The sequence below is a fragment of the Homo sapiens genome, chromosome 5 (assembly GCF_000001405.40).
Source record: "Homo sapiens chromosome 5, GRCh38.p14 Primary Assembly".
NCBI lineage: Eukaryota > Metazoa > Chordata > Mammalia > Primates > Hominidae > Homo > Homo sapiens.
The window spans coordinates 74,797,570-74,816,499 of NC_000005.10; the positions used below are offsets into that span (position 1 = coordinate 74,797,570).

Here is an 18,930-nt window from a genome sequence, read left to right on the forward strand (position 1 = left end):
GAAATCTGTAGATACAATAGCCACGAGACACACTTGACTATTTTACATTTAAATTAAAATTAAATGAAACAATTGAGTTCTTTAGTTGCACTAGCCATACTTCAAGTGTTCAATGGGCACACTGGCTAATGGCTATCATACTGGGCAGTGTAAATACAAAATATTTCCATCACTGCAGAAAGTTCTATTTCTCAGCCTTGGTGTAGATAAGGAGTCAGCAAACCTTTCCTTTAGGCATCGTGGGCCATATGGTCTCTGTTCCAAACACTCAACTCTGCCGTTCCAATGCAAACATTAACTAAAAATATATAAGCTTAATAATATATAAAAATATATATGCTTAATAAACAATAAAAATATATAAGCTTAATGAGCATGGGTGTCTTACAAAAAAATTTTATTCACAAAACCAGGTGGCAGGCCAGATTTGGCCTACAGGCCATAGTTGGTGGACCTTTACACTAGAAAGTCTTCTCTCCCAGCTCTGCTTGTTGAGTTTCTACTTATCTTTGAAGCCCAGGCCCAAATGCCAAATCTCTCCATCCCCTCAATTAGAATCCAACACTCTTTCCTCTGTATCCACAGCATTCTGCACTTTCCATTACTGTTCTATCACAATCCGCCTTACGGTGCTCTTAACTGTGTACATATCTCTCTTTACCCCTAGGCAGTCAATCCTTTGAGGGCAAAGATGATGTTTTGTTCTTCGTATGTTTCAGCAAACAGTCAAGCATAAACTCCTAACTGTTCCGTTTATGAAAAGCAAACAAAATTCCACAATAATTCTGGGAGGTTCAATTTAAAATATATTGTTACCCTTCTAAAAAGGGTACTATATCAAAATATTGCTCAGTGAGAAAACCACAGTTTTCTAAACTCATATTTTTATTACTAGATTTAAATATTTCCTTATATCTATCTTTAACATTACAAATTTTCACCAAAACAAAACATTTACATACTTTATTACCCAAATTTAAAATTATTTGTATAAGGATTAGCACAGCTACAGAATTCTCTACTTGACTAAAATAATTTGACAGTTAAAATGGCAAAGTTATGAATTAACTAAATGGTTGACTCAGGAACAGTTGGCAGAACTGTTAGGGCAGAAATCTTATTTTATTATAAAAGTTAGAGTCTTGCTTTAAGATTCAAAGAAAGAGGATAAAGCTGAGACTCAAGTGTTCTGTTGATTCAGTTGGCAACTAAATTCCTGAAGGAATTCACTGTACTATTTATGGTTATCACTAATTTATATCCAATAGCCCAGTAAAATGAATCAATAAAGTAAAATTGAGGGTATTTTAAAACTGACTAGAGCCCTGTTCACATCGACTGCCCAGAGTCCGTAAATCCTCTGCTCCAAGACCGTCCGGACTGCCCCGACCCCAGCTTTCTCTCCTTTGAAAACACTAAGAATAATGTCACTGCATCAGTTTTTACTAGAGCCAATCAACTGTCGTGCCTGAAACAGGGATCGTACCCAGATTGCCCTCAGTGTCAATAATCACGAAGTGCACATCTATAAGAAGAATGGGCGCCAGTGTGTGAAAGCTCACGAACTCAAGGAGCACAATGGACACATCACAGATATTGACTGGGCTCCCAAGCATGACCACATCGTCACTTGTGGGGCAGACCACAATGCCTATGTCTGGAGTCAGAAAGATGGTGTCTGGAAGCCAACACTGATGATCCTGAGAATTAATCGCACAGCTACTTTTGTGAAGTGGTCCGCCCTAGAGAACAAATTTGCTGTGGGAAGTGAAGCACGACTCATTTCAGTTTGTTACTTTGAGTCTGAAAATGACTGGTGGGTGAGCAAGCACATTAAAAAGCTGATTCGCTCCACAGTCCTCAGCTTGGATTGGCATCCCAACAATGTTTTGCTGGCAGCAGGATCATGTGACTTCAAACACAGAGTGTTTTCTTCCTACATTAAAGAAGTGGATGAAAAGCTGGCCAGCATGCCCTGGGACAGCAAGATGCTTTTTGGGCAGCTGATGTCAGAGTCTGGTGGCGGTGGCACTGGTGGCTGGGTCCACGGGGTCAGCTTCTCCGCCAGTGGGAGCCACCTGGCCTGGGCCAGCCACGACAGCACCATGTCTGCTGCTGATGCCTCAAAAAGTGTGCATGTCTCAATCTGAAGACGGAGTTCCAGCTGCTCCTGAGTGTGTCATCTGTCTCAGACAACAGCGCCGTGGCTGCTGGCCATGACTGCTGACCAATGCTCTTGAACTACGATGACCGTGGCTGCCTGACCTTTGTCTCCAAGTTAGACATTCCAAAACAGAGCATCCAACGCAACATGTCTGCCATGGAATGCTTCTGCAACACGGACAAGAGGGCCACGACTGAGGGCTCCAACATGGCTTTGAAGATGCTGCGCCAGAATAGCATCACTCAAGTCTCTATTTATGAGGTGGATGAGAAAGATTGTCGCAAATATTGCACTACTGGCATCGATGGAGAGCCATGACAATTTGGGATTTCAAGGATAATTTGAAGCTGAGTGAGCCTCCGCCATCCAGCGTGACAAACTATGGCTGACTGCAGCTGTGCCGTGGCACGATGGCTAGGAAGCCAGCCCCAAGGAAACACTGAAAACACATATCACGCCAATATCATGTGGTTTTGTTTGAATATAAAATTGGTGAAAATGTTGGTTTTTTAAAAGCAATGTTTTTGTTTGTTTTTTTTTTGCAATTTCATTCCATTCTTGACCAAAGCTTTTCTTTTAAGTAGTTTATTATGGAAAATTGTCACACTAACTTAAAAGACAGGGAGATATGTAAACTGTCCACTAGAAAATTAAATAAAAGAATTGAATGCGGGGGGAAAAAAACTGACTATATCTCAGCATTACTTAAAACCATACCATCAAATTCAGCGTGGTGATAATGACTAATTTGGGATAATATAATCACTAGAATAGTCTCCTGGATTGTCACACATGAAGTGAGTTTATGCCAGTCTCTTATTAGCAGCTTCTCCCAATAGCATTGTCAAGGCAACACTTAGCACTGATAAACAACTAATAATCTTGTACAATAATTCAAATATAAATAATTCAAATACAAACTCCTACACCAAAGTCATCTGCTACACAAACAATGTAATCGCCTCTACCTTAAATGCTAAATACCAAAAAGTATATTAAAAGTATATTAAAAGTATACCAAAAGTATAATAAACAATATAAAATAGTATATATTATATATAAAATATTAAATATTGATAATATAAAAGTATAAACAAAAAATAAAAGTACAAATAAAAAATGAGAGTAAAATCAACAATTATTTACTTGTTTATTGAAGCTGTAAGTGAAGTCTGGGAGGTCTTTTCATCTTCACCTTGAGAACTGCTAAATTCAGAATCCTGAAACCGCTTTCCAATCTTTGGCCGCTTTAGATTACCACTTCGAGTATGAGTGGAAACAGATGTTTTATCATGACCTGAGGAGAAAAACAGCAAAACTGCACTTAATTGATTATATATTAAAAGGACTACCTATTAAAATACACAGAAATGCAAGAACTACACTAGTTTACACATATCCTCCACATTACACAGGTTCACCCTCCCCTCACTTATGTCAGGCTAAGAAAATTATTTTATAATTTACATCTTTTTCTAAATTATGTAACTTTGTCAAGTTATATGAACTGTGTAAGTCATTCCTCACGTTCCATGTTATCTTGGGCTTTGCAAAGTGTTTTTGTATTTCACTTGCATTCCCTCCCAATAATCTTGGAAAATAAACAACGTAGACATTACCATCCCTATTTTATAGCTAAGGAAACAAGGAAGAGAGAGGTACAATAGCTTACTCAGTGTTCACATAGCAAAATCAGTGGCAGTGGTGGCATGAGAACCCAGATCTAGATTTTAGAGCTGGTTAAGTCTTCACTTTCTCAGGGTGACACACCACACACACATGCATGCACACACACACACACAGCCCTAATTTGAAGTGTCTCAAATACTTACTGATATATCAGTTGAATTTCTTACCTTCGGAAGTGCTTGCAAAGGCATCTTTTAGAGAATCAATCTAAAAAAGAGAGAGATTCAAACCCAAAGTTTTAGACTATTTTTTCTCCCTATGGATCTATTTCACTTATAGTTTCAAAGAAAAACTTGTAAAATGTTTTCCAAATAGCACTTTTTGTTAACAACATTTACTTTAAAAATAAAAAGGTTATAGTTCAGCTTCAGTTTAAAAGACTGAGAACATATGCAAGTCATCTAATATGTCATAGTGTGTCCACTAGTGTCTCCTAGTTCTGTCCTCAGCCACCTTCTCTGCTCAGTCCACATGCTCTCCCTTCACTATGCTTACTTCAGTATCTGCTTATTGATGAATTCAAATATGAGACTTAAGCCTCCAAACTTTCTTCCTGATTTCCAAAGCTTTATTTCCAATGAAATATCTCCCAGTGGATGTCCCATCCAATTTCACACTCAATCATTCCCAAAATGAACTTTATCTTTCCCCAATATTATTCCCTATCTTGCTTAATGACGATTCAGTCAGTCATTCTAGCCAGAAAACAGTGAGTCAGCAATGACTTCTTCCTAACTCACATGTAATCAATCACAAAGCCTTTCAATTTTAACTGAAGAATCTCTCAAAACTGTCCTGTCCTTTGTACTACCATTGCTTTAGTTTATATCTTTAGTCTCTTGAACCAACTATTCCAACAGCCTCCTCACTCATATCCCTCATTCTAATCACATCCCATCTACACCCCTCCACCCTGATGACAAAGTGATACTTTCGAATCACAAATTGTACCATTTTTTTGATAAAAAAAAAAAGAGGAAAAAACTTTTAATGGCCAACCACTGCTTAGAATACAAATTCTCAACCTATTCAATACCAAATACCTCTTTCATATCAAACATGCCATTTCCTTTACACCTCTGTAACTTTTTTACATGCTATCGTCTGGAATGCCCTAAGAAAATTCCCACCCACCCTTTAAAAGTCATCCTCTCCTATGTACCTCCAATTACTTGCTATAATAAAGCAATTATTATGCTATAGTATATTATATATTTCCAACAATGGACCATCTAGTTCTCCCATGTCTAAGAACCATATCTTTATATGTCCAATGCTTGCCATAGTAACTACTTTATTCATCCATTACATGCTTACTAAAACTCCACAATATAGTGGGCACACAGCCTTCAATTTATAGAACAAAAGCAAGGGAGCAATTGTGATAAATCATATGACAAATATCTTGCTTCAACCAACTTGTAGTCCAACAAGAAAAGGTTAAAATGTAGATAAAGATGAATAAATAAAAGGTGCAAAAAGTGTAAGATAAATAATAGGAAAAAGCAGGTAACAATACCATCATCACCTAAAGAATAAATCATGTAGTTGAAATAAACTAAACTATTTGTGGCTACTAACAAAAAGAGATATAAATAGTTTAATATGATAAACATTTCCTTCAACTATTTAAAACATTAAAGTAATATGAAGAATATGAATTTCTAAAATCTTAAATAGGTTAGATTCTAAAATCTAATTTATGCTGTCAACTGTATGATATAGTACCACTGTCATATATTCTCACTCAAATGACACATCTAAAATTATTTGGCTTAGTATTAAAGTAAATCATTGCTCTCGTTACATTTATAGGAAGAGTAGATTTTCTACTTTCCTTGATTTTATAACTGGCCAATACTAAATGAATCTGTGTATCTCTCAGGAATTTGGACTGCAGTAGAACAGGAGCTTATTCTCAAGTCTGAATTTCCAAAAGTAGGAAAAAAAAATCCCAAGAATCTAACTCCTTACATATATTGTTATTCTTAAAAATGTTTACAAATTTGCCACTCGAATAGTCAACTCTCATGCTAATTGAGACAGAAAATAAGCACAAATAATTCCCTAAAGCAGTTGTTTCTAACACTCACCAAAAATAAACTTAGATACACACGTACAACATATGTAGTGTTTCTAACACTCACCAAAAATAAACTTAGATACACACATACAAAAATATGACTGTAATAAATGCCATCCCCCAAAACCCTAGACTTCTAGAGTCCCATCAATGGGCCATATTTTAAGCAGTACCACAAAACATCAGTTCTAGAAAAGGACCTGGTAAGTCCTGTGGAGTTTGGTAACGGGACCTGTCCTTCTACTTTCAGGATACCTAATATTTGCAAAGTGCATTACATTCTACAAAGACTAGCATATACAGCCTCAAACTTTACAACATAACAACTTCATAGTCTTTCACCTACTAATTCCACTTCTGGAAATTTGTATGTTAAGATAAGTAATTACATATACACAAGGATTCATATATAAATGTGTTTGCTCCTGGGTCATTTAAAAATGTTAAAAATTTAAGGATCCTATGTTAAGGAAACAAATAATGATAGTTACATAAAATAGATAATAGAATAGTGTGCTGCTATGTAACAATCACATTTTAATGATTTAATGCCATAGAAAATGCTTCCAATATTACATTAATGGAGAACAGCAGTTAGAAGCAATCCAAGAGAATAAAAATAAAAATACAATATATACAGATACATGCTTTATAATATGCGATATTAAATATATATGCAAAAATTTTAACAGTGGCTATATCTGAATAGTGGGATTATAGATTTTTATTTTCTTCTATATTATTTTATGTTTATTCTAAATTACCCTTAAATTAGCTCATACTTTTAACATCATTAAAATTATTTTTCAAAGAAAATTAAAGTCCTTAGTAATATTAACAGAAGATGCCAGGAAAACTAACACAGTAGAAATTACATAGCTTTGTTGAATGAACTATGACATTTAAAACTCAAATATAACCTGTATCTATTTTTTAAAAACACAAAAATTTTATATACAACAATAAACATATAGACAGTGTACCTACAGTTAGCTGCATCTCACTAGACTGATTGTCTTCAGTTCTTGCTTCGTATTCTGGAACAGATGCAGGACCATATTCTCCAGACATAGGTCTTTTAGGTTCATTTTGAGAAAGTGCTGCGTATAGAAGAATTTTAAAAACTGTAACCGAATCAGTATTTGGTTTTAACTCTAACATTGTACTGATTTTCCTAAAAGCTCTGAAGAGCAGCCTGGACAGAAGGGTCACGAAAATCTAGGTGTGAGATGTTCTCTTCACCAATATCCTATAATGCAACATTGCCATTATATACAATGTTAAATAGTTATTTTAAGTATTTAGTAGCTTTGGGGAGAAGTGCATGAGATTAAGGGGTACTTTGGACCCCCTGGTGCCTATTCTATGCCGTTTGAGTAATCTACGTTTATTTCTTACCCACCAATTCCTACTGGGCTGTTCTAGGTCTCCTTGTTACTAAGGACTCAAAAGTTAATACATTACCAAAATTCAAACCTTAGACAAGAGAGTCTGTTACTAGAACAATCACATTATAATACACTACCACTCTGGACTCTAAGACACAACCATTATTAGCCTCTGCTTTTTAAACTGGACTTATGGGCCAGCAAGGACAGGCTACCAAAAATAAATAAACTGAACTTATGTTCAAACTGAAAACACTCTTACCTAGAATTTTAAGTGCTTCTCTTTGTAATGCTCTGGTGACTGGTATTCGCTGGTACCAGTGTCCAACACCTTCAACTTCCCAAAGGAGTTCATGGTCTCCTGGATACTTCTCAAAGTATTGCTTGCAAGCTGAAAAACACATTTAGAATTTTCTAGAAATCCCAAATATCCACTGTTTTGAAAAACAGGAGTTGAAAAGTAAGCTTCCCAACTCACTTAACGGGGCTAGCATAACCTTGATACCAAAACACCAGCAACACAACTCAAGTATACAGTAGTTTCATTTATAAATAAAAATTCTAAATAAAAATCCCAAATAAAAGTTTTAACACGACTGAACAATAAAAATCCTTTAAAAATGTGCTTCGCTTTTTTTTTTTTTTTTTTTTTTTGGAGATGGAGTCTTGCTATGTCGCCCAGGCTGGAATGCAGTGGCGCGATCTCGGCTCACTGCAACCTCCGCCTCCTAGGTTCAAGCAATTCTCCTGCCTCAGTCTCCTGAGTAGCTGGGATTACAGGCACCCACCGCCATGCCTGGCCAATTTTTGTTAAAAAAGTGCTTTGCTTTTAAAGAAAAAAATGATTAAATGTTACAGAGGGACATAGAAAAACTGAATAAAAAGATTGTCAGACTCAATAGTATAAAAATACCAGTTCTCATCAAATTGATCTATAAATTCCATGCAATTCCAAACAAATCCCAACACAACTTATTTTTTAATGAAACTTAACAAAACTTGATCCCAAATTCAAAAATGAAAGAACAAAGGATAAGAAAATATTCAGTATGTACAACTATTATACATGAATTTAAAAGCTCCAAAAAAAAAAAAAAAAAGAAATAATATTCAGGTCAATTCTGAAGAAGAAAAATAAGGATAGAGACTTGTCCAAGTAGATACCAAGTATTTGAAACAAGTACCAAGTATTTGAAACCAAGCATTTAAAAACCATAGTAATTGAAACAACCTAGTATTGACAGAAGGATATATAAACGGACTGGGAGTGGGAGGGAGAAGGAGAAGAAAAATACCAAAAAACAAACAAACAAAAAATCCACAAATAAGTCACAAAGAAACTCCACTAGGAAAGAACCACACGTACACTACAACTTGCCAAATGACAGAAAAGGCATTACACTTCAGCAAAGAATGGATAAACTACTAAAATAATGGTGCTGAAATAAAAATCCATATAAAAAAGCAATAAAGTCAGATCCTGACCTCACATCAACATAAATTCTAAACAAATTCTAAGACCTAATGTGAAAAACAAAATGTTTAAAAGAAAACATAGGAGAATACCTCTAGGACATTAGGGTTCAGATGGATTCCTTACAAAGACACAAAAATCACAGTCCATGATGAAAAAGTATGATCTATTAAGATTTAAAACCTAGTATATCAGGACTGTGCAACAGAACTTTCTGTGATGATAGACATGTCCTATTACCAGCACTGTCCAATACAGTAGCCACTAGCCACATGTGACTACTGAGGAACTGAACTTAAACTTATATTTAAATTAGTGACTACTGTATTGAACTGCACCATTCTACATGAAAATGATACCAGAAAGACACAGATTAGGAGATATTTAGAGTAAAACAAACAATTAGTACTCAGAATATATAAAGAATTTCTGAAATTGAATTCAAAAGACAAAGTTATCCCAAAGAAAAACTGACAGAGACTATGAACAGGAATTTCACACCTAATGAAATCTGAGTGGTCAATAAACAAAGATAAAGATGATAAACCTCACTAGCTGCCAAGGAAAGATAAGATATGATTTTCACACCTGCAGGATATGACAAGCACCAAGAAGAATAAGGGAAATGGAAACACACACTCTGCTGGTGGGATAATAATTTTGCAACAGTAAAGTTGAAAAGGCTTTTATGATCCAATTCTACTTCTAGGTATAAACCCTAATTCCTTATACAGATGCTCCCTGACTTACACTGGGGTTACATTCTGATAAACCCATCATAAATTGAAAATACCACTAAGTCAAAAATGCATTCACTACACCTAACCTATCAAACATCATAGCTTAGCCTCACTTACCTTAAATGTGTTCTGAACACTTACAGTTCAGAACACAGCCTTCAGCCTATAGCCGGGCAAAATCATCTAACACAAAGCCTATTTTATGATAAACTGTTGAATATTTCACATACTTTATTGAATACAGTACTCTGTAGAGTATTGGTTGGTTGCCCTTGCGATCACCTGGCTGACTGGGAGCTGTGATTGGCAGCCACTGCCCAGCTTCATGAGAGAGTATCATACCACATATCATTAGCAAAGGAAAAGATAAAAATTCAAATGACTGTTTCTACTGAATGAGTATCACTTTTGTACCATCATAAAATCAAAAGCCAAACCATCATAAGTCAAGGGCCATTTGTACATATGCAAAAAACATTTGTAACATTCATTACAGGACTACTTTTAAACTAGGATGACCGGACACAACCTAAGTGCCCAACAGTAGGGAAATATATGAATAAACTGTAATATGTATGTAATAAAAATACTGTGTAGTATTTAAAACAAATGAATTATGGCTACCTAAATCAACATTGATAACTCTTTTAAAAATGCTCAGTAAAAATGTGGGCCAGTAAATGAACAAAATGATGCCACGTATAAAAAGTTTAAAAACACACTAAATAAGGCTAGGCACAGCGGCTCACGCCTGTAATCCCAGCATTTTGGGAGGCCAAGGTAGGCAGATCATGAGATTAGGAGTTCAAGACCAGCCTGATCAACATGGTGAAACCCCATCTCTACTAAAAATACAGAAAATTAGCCGGCCATGGTGGCTACTCAGGAGGCTGAGGCAGGAGAATCACTTGAACCCAGGAGGAGGAGGTACAGCCACAGTGGAAAACAGTTTGACAGTTCCTCAAAAAATGAAACACAGAATTACCGTATGACCCACCAATTTCATCCTCAGGTATACATTCAAAAGAAATGAAAGCAGAGACTCAAACAGGTATCTGTACACCAACATTCATTGAAGCATTATTCACAATAGCCAAAAGGTAGAAACAACCTAACTGTCCATCAATAGATGAATGGCAAAACAAAATACTGTATATTCAAACAAAAGAATACTATCCAGCCATAAAAAGGAATGGAATTTTGATACTGTATATGCTACAACATGATGGACCTCAAAGACATTATGTTTAGTGAAGTAAGCCAGACACAGAAAAATAAATATTGTATGATTCCATTTAGATGAGGTAGCTAGCATGGGCAAATTCATAGGGACAGAAAGCAGAAAACAGGTTACCTACCAGAAGATGGGGGTAGGGGAAAAGGGGAGTTAATTGTTTAATGGGGAGAAAGTTGATGTTGCAGATGATTGAAAAGCTTTGGATATAGACAGTGGTGATGGGTACAAAACACTGTGCATAAGAGCCACTGAACTGTTCACCTACAAATAAGGTATTATGTATAATTTTTTACAACAAAAAATGGTTTAAAAACTAAGAAAGCACACTAAATAATATTTTATAATGTTTACAGACATAAATATGAAACCATAAGTAGGAAAATAAACACTAACTTCAGGAGTGCAATTATCTCTGGGGAGGAAAGGAGAAAGCAGAGTGGTATTAGGGAAGGGTTCAAAGAGAACATCAATTGTATCTTTTATTACAATCAATAAATATTGTATTTAGTTCTCCCTTAAACTAAAACAAATATGGCAAAATCTTCACATTTGTTCAATCTAGACTTGGTACAGAAATTAGGACACTAGTCTATCATTTTTTTCCCTGTATATTTGAAAATATTTCTCATATGTTCTGGGTTTAGTTTCCAAAACTAAAAGGAAGGAAGAAGCTGGAGAAAACCAACACAACAGGCCACAAAACAAAACAAAAAGACATGGCTAATAAACCAACTGTTGAGATAAAATAGAACACTGATAAATACTTCCAAAAGGAAAGAAAAAAGGAGAAAGAACAAATGGGACAAATAAAGAATAAACAGTAGGATGGGAGATGTAAACTAAATAATTTCAAAACTTACTTGCAAAAAATGCACATGGACTAAAGAAAATGAAAAGGCCATGAGAAAGAATTAACAATACACACATATAACAACTCATATCCAGGATACATAAAGAACTCATAACTCGGCCAGGTGTGGTGGCTCACGCCTGTAATCTCAGCACTTTGGGAGGCCGAGGTGGGCGGATCACGAGGTCAGGAGATCGAGACCATCCTGGCTAACACAGTGAAACCCCATCTCTACTAAAAAAATACAAAAAATTAGCCAGGTGTGGTGGCAGGCGCCTGTAGTCCAAACAGCTTGGGAGGCTGAGACAGGAGAATGGCGTGAACATGGGAGGCAGAGCTTGCAGTGAGCCGAGATTGTGCCACTGCACTCCAGCCTGGGTGACAGAGCGAGACTACGTCTCAAAAAAAAAACATAACTCATAACTCAATAAGAAGGCAAGCAATTCAATACAACATAAGCAAAAGATGTGAACAAACACTTTACTTGTTCTACCCTTTTTTAGGGTAGATGATTATCCAGTAATTACATGAAGAGATACTCAAAAATCTTTAGTCTTCAGGAAAACATAAATTGAAACCACATAATGAGTGCTTTCCACTTACTACTAGGAATGATTAAAATTAAAGAGATTGACAAAAACCAAGTGTTGGTGAGTACACAGAGCAACCAGAACTTCCACATATTTATACTAACGGGAATGCGAAATGACATAACTACTTAGCAAATAGTTTTGCAACTTCTCAAAGTTAAACACAATCATAAAACCCAGTAATGACACTCTTAGGTATTCGCTACAAAGAAATGAAAACAAACGTCCATCATACAAAGACATTTTCATGCAGCTTTATTCATAATAGCCAAGAAAGGAAAAAACCCAAATGTCTATCAACAGGCAAATAAATTGTGGTATAATCAAAGGGAGGAATACTCAGCAAAATAATAAAAAATTTAAAAAGGAATGAAGTACTGAGACATGCAACATCAATGAGCCTCAAAAATAAGATGCCAGACATAGAAGTAGAGATACCATATATTTCCATTTTTCATGAAACTCTAGAAAAATCTAAGTGGTACTGACAGAAAGCACATCAGTGCTTGCCTGGAGTGAGAGTTTGGAAGGGAAGGAAGCCGGGGGACTGGTGCACAAAGGGAACTTTTGGAAACAAAGTTATTATCTATCTAGGTTGCGTCTACAGTAGCAAGGGTCCATATGTTTGTCAGAAGTCAGCAAAAATGTACACTTTTGTGTACGGTACATGTACGGTACATGTAGGCTGGGCGCGGTGGCTCACGCCTGTAATCCTACCACTTTGGGAGTCCGAGGCGGGTGGATCACGAGGTCGGGAGATCGAGACCATCCTGGCTAACACAGTGAAACCCTGTCTCTACTAAAAATACAAAAAAATTAGCCAGGCGTGGTGGCGGGCACCTGTAGTCCCAGCTACTCGGGAGGCTGAGGCAGGAGAATGGTGTGAACCCGGGAGGCAGAGCTTGCAGTGAGCCGAGTTTGTGCCACTGCACTCCAGAGCCTGGGTGACACAGTGAGACTCCGTCTCAAAAAAAAAAAAAAAAAAAAAAAGTACATGTTATTGTATGTAAATTATAACTTAATAGATATTTGCCCTTTTTTTTTTTTTTTTTTTTGAAACAGGATCTGGCTCTTTCCCTGAGTCTGGAGTGCAGTGGCTCACTACAGCCTTGAACTCCTGTACTCAAGTGATCCTCCTGCCTCAGTCTCTCGAGTAACTGGGACTACAGGCGCACACCACTAGGCCTGGATTTTTTTTTTTTTTTTTTTTTTCCTTCAGACAGAGTCTCGCTCTGTCACCCAGGTTGAAGTGCAGTGGCACAATTTTGGCTCACCACAAATTCTGCCTCCCAGGCTCAAGCAAAATCTGGTGACTCAGCCTTCTGAGTAGCTGGGATTACAGACATGTGCCACCATGCCCAGCTAATTTTCACATTTTTAATGGAGATGGAATTTCACCATGTTGGCCAGGCTAGTCTTGCATTCTTGGCCTCAAGTGATCTGCCCTCCTCGGCCTTCCAAAGTGCTAAGGCTTTATAGGAAGATAGAAATTAGCTGATAATCATCTGTAAATCATTTGGTATTCAATTTATTTATCATTAGAATCACAGAAGAGAGTAAGTGCTAAGGGATTCTGCCTGCAGTGGATGTCTTTGCATCTCTCCTCAAATTCAGTAAAGCAGTAATTAGGGGGTAATGCATTTTAGGACTATCCAAGGACACACAATGCCCATCCCACTCTCATGTATGGATTTAGAGAGAAAATATGATTCAAGATGGGCATCTAATTCTGTACTTGGTTCCTGTTTTCTGGATTGCTTTTGGTATTAAAGAAGGTGCAGAAGATTTGGAATAAAAATATATTTTCAGTGGAAATAAATGTCAACTGTTAGACTGAAATCAACAGTAAATTATACTTTATAAGAGTTTCTAGGTTAATTACTATCCAGAATTAAATCTTACTTCATTGAGTAGTTGTATACCTTTACACAAATGCAAAAACAAACCCACTAATGGTTTTAAATCACCAAGTGATATGTCCATAAAATGGAATACGGCATTGACGATAAATGGAACTATACGAATCCATATGGATGAATCTCACAAATATAAAGATGAGTAAAGAAAGCAAACTGTAGAATTCATACAGTATGTATTTATAGTTTTTAAATATATAAAGCAACCTGACACATTGTTTGAGAATACACACGTATGTATTACAAGTCTAAGAAATGTATGAGAAAAATAAAGCCAAGTTAGGTACAGTACTCATCCCAGGGAAGGGGAGTGAGTCTAATTGGGTAGAAGTACATAGAAGGCTTCGACCATATTGGCAACAAGCCATTTCTCATGGATGGTACATGCTGACATAGTACATGAGTATTTGATATCTTATTTTTATTTCTTTTTATTTTTTTGAGGTAAGCTCTCAATTTGTCACCCAGGCTGAAGTGCAGTAGTGCAATCTCGGCTCACTGCAGCTTTGACCTCCTGGGCTCAAGCAATTCTCCCACTTCAGCCCCTCAAGTAACCGGGACTACAGGCACAAGCCACCACACCCAGCTAATTTTTTTTGTAATTTTTGTAGCGATGGGGTTTTACCATGTTGTCCAGGCTGGTCTCGAATTCCTGAGCTCAAGCGATCCACCCACCTCGGGCTCCTAAAGTGCTAGAATTACAGGCGTGAGCCACCATACCCAGCCAATGCCTTACTTTTTAAACTTTTTTTTTTTTTTAATTGAGGTGAGGTCTCACTATGTTGCCCAGACTGGTCTCAAACTCCTGGACTCAAGCAGTCCTCCCACCTCAGCCTTTGGAGTAACTGAGATAACAGGCATATGCCACCATTCCCAGCTTCTTTATTTCTTTTTGTATGTCTGAAATTTATTTTGTTAATTTTAAAAGCTACCATAAACAAATAACCCCCCCCCAAAATGGTCAAAGGATCTGAACAGATTTCTCCAAAGAAGATATACAAATAACCATTAAGCACATGAAAAGATGTTCAACATCAAAGCAAAGCAAAACTATGAGATGCCCCTGCACATCCACTAGGATGCCTGTAATAAAATATACAGATAACAAATGTTGGTGAGGATGTGGAGGGCTGTAATAAAATACACAGATAATAACAAATGTTGGTGAGGATGAAGATGTGGAGAAATTGTAACCCTCATATAATATTGCTTATGGGAATGTAAAATGCAGCAATCACTTTAGAACAAGTTGTGGTACAGCCATACAATGGAATATTATTCAGTCATAAAAAGAAATGAAGTACTAATTTACGTACAACAAGAATGAACCTTAAAAACATGCTAAGTGAAAGAAGCCAGACACAAAAAGCCACATGCTATATGATTCCATTTATATGAAAAATGTCCAGAATGAGTAAATCTACAGAGACAGAAAACAGATTAGTGGTTGCTACAGGATGAAGGGGAAATGGATGGTGACTGCGAATTGGTACAGGGTTTCTTTTTGGAGTGATAAGAATGCTCTGGAACTGCTGGCTATGATTGAACAACTATGAATATACTAAAAACCACTGAATTGTACACTTTTAACAGGGCAAATATTATGGCATATGTTGTTTTGTTTGGTTTGGGATTTTTTTTTTTTAGATGGAGTCCTGCTCTGTCACCCAGGCTGGAATGCAGTGGCATGATCTTGGCTCACTGCAACCTCTGCCTCCCGGATTCAAGCAATTCTCCTGCCTCAGCCTCCCGAGTAGCTGGGATCACAGGCACGTGCCACCACGCCCAGTTAATTGTTTATTTTTAGTAAAGATAGAGTTTCATCATGTTGGCCAGGCTGGTCTCGAACTCCTGACCTCAGGTGATCCGCCTGCCTCAGCCTCCCAAAGTGCTGGGATCACAAGTGTGAGCCACTGTGCCCGGCAATTGTATGGTATATGAATTACATTTATAGTTTTTTAAGACTGCCAAACCCCGAGAAAACAAATACATAAGGGCACATTTGCCAAAGTAAGTTCTAGAGAGCCTAAGGTTCCAAATTTATGTGATACTGATATATACACATTTACCGTATTTTGAAGAAACAAGTCGGAAGTGACACAAAGACAAGTTTATTATTTTTTAACTTAGTCCATTTACCTGTATACATGAGAGAAGACAGTGGATACCGCAAGCCAAGCGCATCTTCTGTAAAGGAATCAACAAAGTCCTCCAGCATGTGAAGCCCAAAATCTTTACCTCTGTATTTCTTTCTTAGAAACATTGTATCAAGAACTGGCAATTGGTAACTTTGGGTAAGAAAAGAGGCACATATGCTTCCTGCAGTAATAAGAACAGAAACCCAATAATTTCTCACATTAAAAAATATACATACATTTAGTGACATGAGTTAACAGTCTTTCTAAAAAAAGTTTTCTTCTATATCAAAAAACGTTAAATATATAAATGTTATAATATAAAGTGTTTTTCAGCTACTATTAGACATTATAATGTATAATGTGATAATGAAAGGAGCTATGTATTTTATGTTTGCTAGTAGTATCATCAAATATAGGACAAATAGCTCAGTACCATATTCTAAAATATATACTTCACTATATGTATTATATATATACCATCACTGTCTATAGACTCATGCAACTCTAAAACTCATCAACTATTAAAATTTCAAATTTGAAGAGTATTTGAAGACTATCATTCCAACCTTAGTACCTGAATATCCTTTTTTTTTCTTTGAGGATGTCTCTGATCTGTATTTTTTTAAACATTCATATTTTCCCTCTACATTTTTCCTAACGAGTACCATTTCATTTTTATCTACTTGATGATAGTAAAGAAGTGAATTAGTTCTCCAAATTTTTAAGGACTATAAATTGGGGCGAATTGGAAACATCTGTCTTAGACATGGATAAAATTTCCTGTAGATACAATGCTAAATACATTTTGTATGTTTAAAGTTAAACAGGACAAAAAATTTGTAGTTTCTATATATCTCTCTCCTTATTATACAGCTATGCTGATTTGTCTTTTAAGAACCCTGCTCTATATCTGGGTTTTGACCATTCCAATAGATGTATTAACTCCTTTAATATATCAAAGTAGTTTACAAGTTGAGGGAACGTGGTGGTGTGTCATACTTCCTGTTAATTTTAGAATTCATAGTTATCAGTCATTATTCTATTATTTTTGCCTCAAATAAAATAATCTTTTATTCTCAGATTATTCATATGATTTTGGATAACTCCAATAATGTAGTTCAAACAAGAAACAAAATGTCAAACATCTCACAAATTGTCTTACCAATCATATCATTTAATGAGCTGATCAATATAACAACTTTTTTCAGTTCAACCAAGTAATATGAACTATTTATGACTGAATTGGATTACTTACATAACTTTCTGGAACAATCTCCGAGACTACCGACTAATTTAAATTTAGAATAGGTAATGCATATGGTAATATACTTAGATATTTTTATTTTTTTTCTTTTTTCTTTTTTTTTTGAGATGGAATTTCACTCTTGTTGCCGAGGCTGGAGGGCAATGGCACGATTTCAGCTCACTGCAACTTCCACCTCCTGAGTTCAAGCAATTCTCCTGCCTCAGCCTCCCAAGTAGCTGGGATTACAGGCGCCCGCCACCACACCTGGCTAATTTTTATATTTTTAGTAGAGACAGGGGTTTCACCATGTTGACTAGGCTGGTCTTGAACTCCTGACCTCAGGTGATCTGCCCCACCTCAGCCTCCCAAAGTGCTAGCGTGAGCCACTGCACCCAGCCAATATACTTAGATCTTAATTGCTGACATTTAGTTAGGCTATTTCTAAGGGTCTAGATTTCTTGTACAAATCTAACAAGTAATCTTGTCAGAGGCGTTTGAACTAGCACAACTCCATCTTAAATAGGAACTGGGTAAAATGAGGCTGAGACCTACTGGGTTGCATTCCCAGACAGTTAAGGCATTCTAAGTCACAGGATGAGACAGGAGGTTGGCACAAGATGCAGGTCATAAACACCCTGCTGATAAAACAGGTTGCAGTAAAGAAGCTGGCTAAAATCCACCAAAACCAAGATGGCAATGAGAGTGACCTCTGGTTGTCCTCACTGCTACAATCCCATTAGCACCGTGACAGTTTCCAAATGCCATGGCAACATCAGGAAGTTACCCAATATGGTCTGAAAAGGGGAGGCATGAATAATCCACCCCTTCTTTAGCATATCATCAAGAAATAATCATAAAAATGGGCAACCAGCAGTCCTTGAGGCTGCTCTGTGAAGTAGCCATTCTTTTATTCCTTTACTTTCCTAATAAACTTGCTTTCACTTTATGGACTTGCCCTGAATTCTTTCTTGTGCAAGACCCAAAAACCCTCTCTTGGACCCCTTTCCGGTAACAGTCTCATCAACAAGCTAACGCAACCACTATGTTTTTAATGCCTTGAAATTGAAGGGTTTTCAGAGTAACAATAGCAGTGATCATGAAATTAACACACATTATAAGTAGTGGTAGTCAAGTTTGAAGTACAAAGCAAAAATGAATGAGAAGAGAAAGCACTGTCTAGTTCTAGTTCTCAATACAAAGTCTGAGGATCTATGGTTGTTCATTACTCTACATGCTTCAGGCTCCTTACAAAAGAATACTACTGAAATGCAGAAAGTTTCTCATAAATTGATTTTTTTTTCTATTTTCACAGAAACATTCCTTCTAGTAAAGGGAAATTCCAGTATCTCAGACTAGTGTTAAAATGGCCAGTTTATGGAACAAGCAGTGTGTTCACAACATTTAAATTTCTTCTA

The 18,930-nt window shown here is 36.5% G+C and overlaps 1 protein-coding gene and 1 pseudogene across 15 annotated transcripts in view, besides 1 other annotated feature; one reads left to right on the plus strand and one right to left on the minus strand.

Moving 5' to 3' along the window:
* FAM169A (family with sequence similarity 169 member A) overlaps nucleotides 1-18,930 on the minus strand; it is an 89,393-nt gene that overhangs the window by 19,996 nt on the left and 50,467 nt on the right. For 13 of the 15 annotated variants that reach the window (NR_046462.1, XM_047417083.1, NM_015566.3 and 10 more), the window contains 5 exons: nucleotides 16,271-16,450; nucleotides 7,587-7,715; nucleotides 6,924-7,036; nucleotides 4,021-4,060; nucleotides 3,311-3,461 (listed from right to left, as the gene is read on the minus strand). Coding sequence is in view for 12 of the 15 variants with exons in the window: in XM_047417083.1 (XP_047273039.1) it covers nucleotides 3,311-3,461; nucleotides 4,021-4,060; nucleotides 6,924-7,036; nucleotides 7,587-7,715; nucleotides 16,271-16,450 (613 nt within the window). In the remaining 3 variants the exon portion in view is untranslated. Of the gene's footprint in view, nucleotides 1-3,310; nucleotides 3,462-4,020; nucleotides 4,061-6,919; nucleotides 7,037-7,586; nucleotides 7,716-16,270; nucleotides 16,451-18,930 lie in introns of all 15 variants that reach the window. The other 2 variants (NR_164753.1, NR_164754.1) reach the window with 2 other exon arrangements.
* Nucleotides 1,325-2,837, plus strand: ARPC1AP3 (ARPC1A pseudogene 3; annotated as a pseudogene).
* Nucleotides 17,387-18,074: an enhancer, noted in NCBI's record as "OCT4-NANOG-H3K27ac hESC enhancer chr5:74110781-74111468 (GRCh37/hg19 assembly coordinates)". NCBI's record gives its function as "activates a minimal SCP1, AML or CMV promoter by ChIP-STARR-seq in primed H9 embryonic stem cells {active_cell/tissue: H9 hESC(primed)}" and the evidence as "EXISTENCE:reporter gene assay evidence [ECO:0000049][PMID:30033119]".